A 7,589-nucleotide genomic window follows, 5' to 3' on the forward strand; every position below is an offset into this window, starting at 1 on the left:
ATCTGATTCTTTTGTCAAATAACTTGCTCTAGTTGGCCGAGAATATGTTTCTTAACTGGACAATTAGGCTGAGCCCTGGCGTAAGGGGAAAAGTGGTCCTGGAAACCAAGGCAGAGGGAATGGGATGCTAGTTCCTGGTATGGTCAGTTAAAACGGAGTGGACAATGCTGGTGGACCAGATGCCTCCCACTCCATTTGCCAAAAGTTCATATGGAATTTGATCTAGAAATACACTCTGAATGTCATGATACCAAGCTGAAGTTTGATGAACCTCTCTAAAGGAGGGGAGTTATGTGTATAAAGAATAGATTATCTTTTAAAAACAACTATTCACTTATCAGATAAAAAAGTTTAAGCCCAAAACTTTGGCCCCAAAGCAAGGCAAAGTAAAAGAATATATTGTATTATAAATCTGCTTTATTTAGCAATTGCAAACAGCGAAGAGCACAGAAATCATCACAGAGATACAGGCTTTGTACATCATAGGACTAGTCACTTGTGCTTTCATGGATACTGCCTGGGTGGGGGTTCACAACACTTATAAGTTAGAGAGTTTGAGAGCCAGTGGAAAGTAAGTGGAAGTTGTTCTGAAATAAGCCCCTGGCAATTTTCTGCAATGAAAAGGAGCAGAGGTCATTTTCTTATAATGCTCAGCCTCAGAGATAGAACACTGGAGGCAAGAAATTAATAATTTAGTAACAGTGAAGCTCCAGTGGTGATTACATCATGATGTAAAATCAGAGGTTGATCTGATGGTGAGCAATGGGTGCTCAGATGGTATAGAGAGAGAGAGAAGAAGTGAGGGCACTAAGCATCCATACCCAGCTCTACCTGGGACAGCAGGGGAGACTGGAGGCCAGGAGAGGAAAGGCAACCTGAGGAGAGGGCTCTGCAGCCAGAGAGGGGCCTGAGGACTGTGGGACCGAGAGCTAGCAGACGCACTTTAGTGCTTATAGCTCTTCCTGCTGGAGGAGGAGGTGGTGGTGTACTTGATGGTGGAACTGCCGCCTCCAACAGAGCTGAGGCCACCCCCAATGGCTCTGCCACTGCTGGAACTGAAGCCACCTCCAACGCCAAGACCACTGCCATAGGAGTAGCTGCTTCCTCCACCCAGGCCTAAGCCACTGCCGACACCACTGGCACCGCCATAGCCACTGGAGACGGTGGACTGCACCACAGCTGTGATGGGGAGGGGACAAGGACACAAGAAGCCATGGTGAGCTCATCCTGTCAGCCTGAGCCCAGTCAGAAGAGTGCGAGGGCAGGGGAGGAAGGCAAGCAAAGGTACTTACAGATGTTGACTTGTCCAACGCCTTCGCCATTCAGCCTGTGGAGAGGAACACAGGGAGGGTGAGACCTCAGAGAGCTCTTCCTTCCCTGGACCAGCGTGGGCAGCCTCGGTGGGTGGAAGAGTCCATGGGAAACTGCTCTTTTAGTTTTCTCTCAGGAAGAGCAATTATGGCCATGGGCAGTGCACCTTAAAGTTGTGCTCAGTGCCAGGAACCTTGAAGATGGACTCAGCTGTTGAAGGAGTTCGTGTCAGTTACCCACCTGCACTCCTCACCCTCCAGCAGCTTGCGGTAGGTGGCGATCTCCACGTCCAGGGCCAGCTTGACATTCATCAGCTCCTGGTACTCCTTCAGCAGCCGGGCCAGGTCCTGCTTGGCCTTCTGCAGGGCATCCTCCAGCCCTTCCAGCTTGTTCTTGGCATCCTTGAGGGCCATCTCCCCACGCTGCTCAGCATCAGCAATGGCGGCCTGCAGGTTGGCGCACTGGAAGAGGAAAGGAATAGAAGAAACTTGTCATCCGGTCTTCCAGAGGAGACTAAACCTGGCTGGTTATTTCCTAGTGAAGGGGCCAGGAGCCCAGAATTGATGGTGAATGAGCTCTGACTCTTCCTATCTATTGTTTTTTTTTTTATTTTGCAGTTTTTGTCCAGTCTGGTTCATTTGACAAAAACTCATAACCCTTTTTGTGAACCACTCTGTGGGAGAATGTGGATATTTACTAATGGGAGACACTGCAGTGGACACATACACTGGAAGAAATGTACCTGCTGGTTTGTTTGGAGTGTTGTCTCCACAGTCAAATCAAGACCACTTATGATTACCTCATATAGATGCCACACTAACATACACAAAATTAAGACCATCCTGAAGTGAGGTGATGAGTCTTCACATGAGACTGCTGAGACCTTGCCTTCCTCCCCCTCAGAATCTCTCATCTACTGTTCTTTGTCCTTTGCCCTTCCTCTACTCTCTCTTTCACCTTGAGTCTTGAGCAGATTTGAAACAATGTTCCTTGTGCTTTCTTATCTGCCCTTTTCTTTTTCAATTTGTTCCTTTGCAGTTTCCAAGTCAGTCTTCCTATGGAAATAAATCCAATTCCTCTAGACCAAGCTTGTCCAACCTACAGCCCACAGGCCACATGCAGCCCAGGATGGCTTTAAATGCAGCCCAACACAAATTCTTAAACTTTCTGAATACATTATGAGGGTTTTTTCTTTTTCTTTTTCTTTTTGAGACAGAGTTTTGCTCTGTCACCCAGGCTGGAGTGCAGTGGCGCGGTATCGACTCACTGCAACCTCCACCTCCCAGGCTCAAGCGATTCTCCTGCTTCAGTCTCCTGAGTAGCTGGGACTACAGGCACGCTCCACCATGCCCGGCTAATTTTTATGTATTTTTAATAGAGGCGGCGTTTCACCATGTTGGTCAGGCTTGTCTCTCACTCCTGACCTCATGATCCACTAGCCTCAGCCTCCCAAAGTGCTGGGATTACAGGCATGAGCCACTGGACAAGGCTGTATGTTTTGTTTTGTTTTGTTTTAGCTTATCAGCTATTGTTTGTATTAGTGTATTTTATGTGTGGCCCAAGATAGTTCTTCTTGTTCCACTGTGGTCCAGGGAAGCCAAAATACTGGACACTCCTGCTCTAAACCATGTTTTTGCAGCTCTGAGCATCGTGACTGGTTCTCTCATGTGTTTGTGTCATGCCATAGGTAGGATCTATGTCTCCTAAGCAGCAGGTACCCACTAAGGGTAGGAAATGATAGCCTCCTCTCCCTGGTTTTGATAAGTTCCAGGGGATTTTCCCTAATATAATGGTTGATGGCTGCCTGACGACCTGACAAGGAAATGCTTCTCTCCTCCATTGTCCCTCACCATACCTGCTTCTTGACGTGGTCGATCTCAGATCTCAGCCTCTGGATCATGCGGTTGATCTCAGCAATCTCCTGCTTGGTGTTGCGCAGGTCGTCCCCATGTCTGCCTGCTGTGACCTGCAGCTCCTCGTACTGCAGCCCAGAGGTGGAGAGAGAGACAGTGTCTACGGGTTCTTACCTGGGAGCGATGACTTTCACTTGTGTATCATGCATGTCATGAAGTGGACCTAAAGGCTTCTCCTCAAGAAACTTGAGGAAAAGTTGATATTATGTGGTTGGTGGATACTAAACACTGGAGTCACAGACCATCCTCATTATGGCACCACTGCCTGCCTAGTTTCTTTAGGGAGTAGAAATGTTCTGTACCAATTTCTAAAAGCCAGCAATCAGGGTGAAGCTAAATGCAGAGATGACTATGTCCTTGTCTATGGTAGCTTTCCTCCTGCATTGGGTTCTTTTTCCTTCTTGACTTGGGCATAAGTTCTGCAAATGTCTACTCTAATAGTGCAGAGTGCATGTCCTGTGAGAGGACCCCAGCTTCCTGTCAGGGGATGTCCCCAGTAAAGTCTGCAGTCCTCTGGTATTCAGGGATGGCACAGGGATTCCTCAGCGGCTGCCCACTCCCTGCTCACCTTGGTCTGGTACCAGGACTCAGCCTCAGCCCGGCTTCTCTGAGCAATCTCCTCATATTGGGCCTTGACCTCAGCGATGATGCTGTCCAGGTCCAGGTTGCGGTTGTTGTCCATGGACAGCACCACAGATGTGTCTGAGATGTGGGTCTGCATCTGGGACAGCTCCTGCAGAACAGAAGGTCATAAGATCAACTTCACTTCCGATATTTACAGAGATACCCAACCCTATACATCTTCTCCCCTTTGCAGACCCCATCAGAGTAAACAGAAGGATGGTGGAGATGCTTACTGCATCATACAAGGCTCTCAGGAAGTTGATCTCGTCTGTGAGAGTGTCTGCCTTGGCTTGCAGTTCAACCTTGTTCATGTAGGCAGCATCCACATCCTGGGGAAAGAGCCAACAACCTGGAGTTACCTGAGCTCACCTTTCCAATCTACCCATCTTCTAGTCTCCATGCCAATTCTCCTCTCCCAGGGGAGCGAGGACACAAAGCCACTTCTCTCCTTCTAAATGAATTTGAACCCCCGGCTTCATCTGCTCACCTTCTTCAGAGTCACAAATTCATTCTCTGCTGCTGTGCGCTTGTTGATTTCATCCTCATATCTACAGGAAGAAAGGCATGGGACACATTTGAGCCAGTGGGTAGGATGAAACAGAAAAGCAGCCTGGGATTCAACATTTTCCCGAATGGAATATATTCTAATTGGGCTTTCCTGCCACAGAGAGCCTAAGAGACGATTTTTGCTTCTGCTAAATTTGCCACTTCTTTAATCTCCCCATCCTCCCATAACCATCTGTGGTTCTTGCAGGTTTGCTCCTAGGGACTAATTTGTGCTCTTCATTTCCACGGACATGGGTTGTTAGGAATATTACCCCCTTCTGGCCCTGGTCACCCAATAGTCTTGAAGTGTGTGCTGCAGGAAACTGAGTCCATTTCTCCTGTTTAACTCACTTGTTCTTGAAGTCCTCCACCAGGTCCTGCATGCCTCTGAGCTCTGAGTCCAGGCGGCCCCGTTCCCCGACAATGCTGTCCAGCTGCCTCCTGAGGTTGTTGATGTACTGCTCGAACAACGGCTCCAGGTTCTGCCTCACAGTCTTGGTGCCCTGCTCCTGCAGCAGGGTCCACTTTGTTTCCAGAACCTTGTTCTGCTGCTCCAGGAACCGCACCTGAAAGAGAGACAAGATGATCATTTTCCAGGCAAGGGAAGGAAGAAAAAGTGTCTGGTATCCGGTTTCCTGGCAGGTCCGGGAGGTTCCCATGGTGCTGGGCTACTACAGTGCATGTAGAGAGGCTCAGGCTGAGCTCTGCTCCCCCAACCCCTTCTCCTTTGTACCCCACCAATCTCACTAGAGGAATTGTCCCACGGACCATTCAGGTGTTCTCACTCTCTAAGTTATTGGACATATTAATGAGTTTCAACATGTCTTTTCCTTCTTTTCCCAGCCAAAATTACAAACATAGTTATAAAATAGTATTCATCTGATAAATTTTACACAGTTTTTATTACTGATAGGACCTCAGTTAGAAGAGATGTTAAATGTTGCCCAATGATTTGATTCCCGTCTTATTTCCCATTTGTGCAAGTCTCTCCTCTAAAACATCCTGATGTTATGGTCATTCTTTGTTTTGAGGATTAATTAACATTTCCACATAACGTATAAACGTTTTAAGTCTTTTTTTTCTTAATCTAGCCAAAATATCCTTTCTTTTGTTTCCAATATTTTTTCCTCTTATCCAGACCCCAGAGTGTAATTTACCAGCCCGTGTACTCCTGGCATTTTCTTTGACGCTTCAAAGGGAAGAGTTAACCTACTCCATTCTCTGATGGCCTCATCTGTGCTTCAGGGTTATGAAAAGTTATGGTTCTCCCTAGGCAGGAGTGAGGGCCACTCCAGAGATCCCATGGGGGAGTGATGCCCATCCCTGCTGCTTGCTGGGCACCAGCAGCCATCTGCACTCTCTGCAGAGCTGGGCTGAGTCCTCTTCTCCCTCCCTCCTAGGTCTCCCTGGCAGGAAGGTGTTGCTCCTCTGGTCTGGGGACCCTGAAGTGCCCCATGGAGGGCATGGCACTGGCTCACCTTGTCGATGAAGGAGGCAAACTTGTTGTTGAGGGTCTTGATCTGTTCACGCTCCTCAGCCCGCACCCGCTGGATGGTGGGATCGATTTGCAGGTTGAGGGGAGTCAGGAGACTCTGGTTGACGGTGACCTCTTGGATGCCTCCAGGGGGGCACACAGGGAAGCCAGGGCCCCCAAAGCCACCAGCAAGGCCGGCTCCACCACCCAGACCAAAGCCAATGCCGGCTCCACCACCGAAACCAAATCCACTCCCGGCGCCACCAAAGCCATAGCTGCCTCCGGCTCTGCTGCCATAGCCGCCACTGATGGCACAGCTGCCCCCTCCAATGGAGATCCTCTTGGAGCCCCCCAGGCCATACAGACTGCGGCTGCCAAAGCCAGCTCCTCCACATGCACCACCCAGGCCACCACTGCCCCTGGAGCGGGACACGGAGACGCTGCTGAAGCCAGAGCGGCTGACCCCAGGGAGCCTGGCTGAGTTGGCACTGAAACCCCGGCGGCTGCTGCTGTGGCTCCTGATGGTGGTGGATGTGCTGGCCATGGTTCCAGGAGATGAGAGAGCTGAGGAGAGTGTGAGAGGCTGGAGGAGAGAGGGAAGAGAAGCAGGACTAGGAATCAGGCTCGGGGCAGCAGCTTATATATGGAGAGCATGGGCTGGGCCCAGTCCTGGAAGGTGAGCTTGCAGGTTGGGAAGGGCTGGGCTTTACCAACAGTGAGATCACACCCAGTTTCTAGAAAGGTATGAAATATGAAGATTGCTTTTTGGCTTCCTTTAGTCATAGAGAAATTCTCCTGCCTTCCAGCCTTGACTTGATCCTAACACAATAAGCCCGGGTATACATTCACTGAAGTCATGAGTTAGTCATGTCCTCAAACAAAGGAGACAAGGAGCTGATCTGTGATAATTGTCCCCTCCTTCTTCTTCATCAGACACTCCCTGTGTGCCCCCTTCCCACACAGGTTTTCTACTCCACTTGCACCAGCCTCACCCTCTGAGTGGGATCCTTCCTGAGGGCGTATGGGCATTTGCCCGATGGCCTGAGCAAGAAGTAGCCTGTTGTGTTTTTTCCACTGCATTTGGACCAGTTCTTCTGGAGCTCCTGGCTGTCCTCCCTTGTGTCCTGGACATAGGAACGGGGTCTGCTTTGGGGATCTAACCCTCCTTTGTCAGGCAAGAGGGACAGAGGAGTTGAGTCTTTACACTGTAGGAGCAACATTTGTTCTGTGTACTGTGTGATCACCTGCCCACATGCCGTTTACCTAAAATGAAGGGAGCAGACATTGCCCAGGGTGCTCAGAGACCTGACTTCTGCCAGGAGTTTCTTTCCATATCTGCACCTCTCTCTCCAGTGCTTGCTTTCCTATTGAGCTTAGTCTCATGTAAATCTGCCTTTCCAGTTGAAATTTATAGACACCTTCTCCCTGCTGTTTTGGAGCATTTACATAGAGCTTAATTTAAACAACGGAAAATGAGTGATATAAAAATCATTAAGGAATTCACTGGATTTTTATTCCCACAGATTTTGACATTTCTTAAGAATCAAGAGTCAGACAGTTTAATTGGGTGTGTAGGGAAAGTCAAGGGGCATATGGAAGCTGTGAATCATAAAATTGTGCCCTTACAAGTGTGATGATGTAACATGTCAATTCCACATTTTAATTTCTGATCTCAGTGCTTGAAATCTCAAATCCATATACACCTTCTGGGAGGGTGGGCA

General features: G+C 48.9%; 1 protein-coding gene across 1 annotated transcript; it reads right to left on the bottom strand.

The window, feature by feature from the left end:
• Window positions 400-6,481, bottom strand: KRT6A (keratin 6A). The gene is made up of 9 exons (NM_005554.4): window positions 5,873-6,481; window positions 4,746-4,960; window positions 4,336-4,396; window positions 4,082-4,177; window positions 3,793-3,957; window positions 3,167-3,292; window positions 1,552-1,772; window positions 1,293-1,327; window positions 400-1,179 (listed from the first exon to the last, which is right to left on the bottom strand). The coding sequence occupies exons 1-9, from the start codon at window positions 6,410-6,412 to the stop codon at window positions 944-946; spliced, it is 1,695 nt and encodes a 564-aa protein (NP_005545.1). The 5' UTR covers window positions 6,413-6,481; the 3' UTR covers window positions 400-943.

This window comes from Homo sapiens, chromosome 12 (genome assembly GCF_000001405.40).
Source record: "Homo sapiens chromosome 12, GRCh38.p14 Primary Assembly".
Taxonomy (NCBI): Eukaryota; Metazoa; Chordata; class Mammalia; order Primates; family Hominidae; genus Homo; species Homo sapiens.

Coding starts and splice junctions, on each gene's coding strand:
- KRT6A (NM_005554.4), bottom strand. CDS start 6,412: ATGGCCAGCACATCCACCACCATCAGGAGCCACAGCAGCAGCCGCCGG. Junction 3,293..3,792: donor AGTCCTGGTACCAGACCAAG/GTGAGCAGGGAG, acceptor TCTGGGCTGCAG/TACGAGGAGCTGCAGGTCAC. Junction 1,773..3,166: donor TCGACCACGTCAAGAAGCAG/GTATGGTGAGGG, acceptor TTCCTCTTCCAG/TGCGCCAACCTGCAGGCCGC.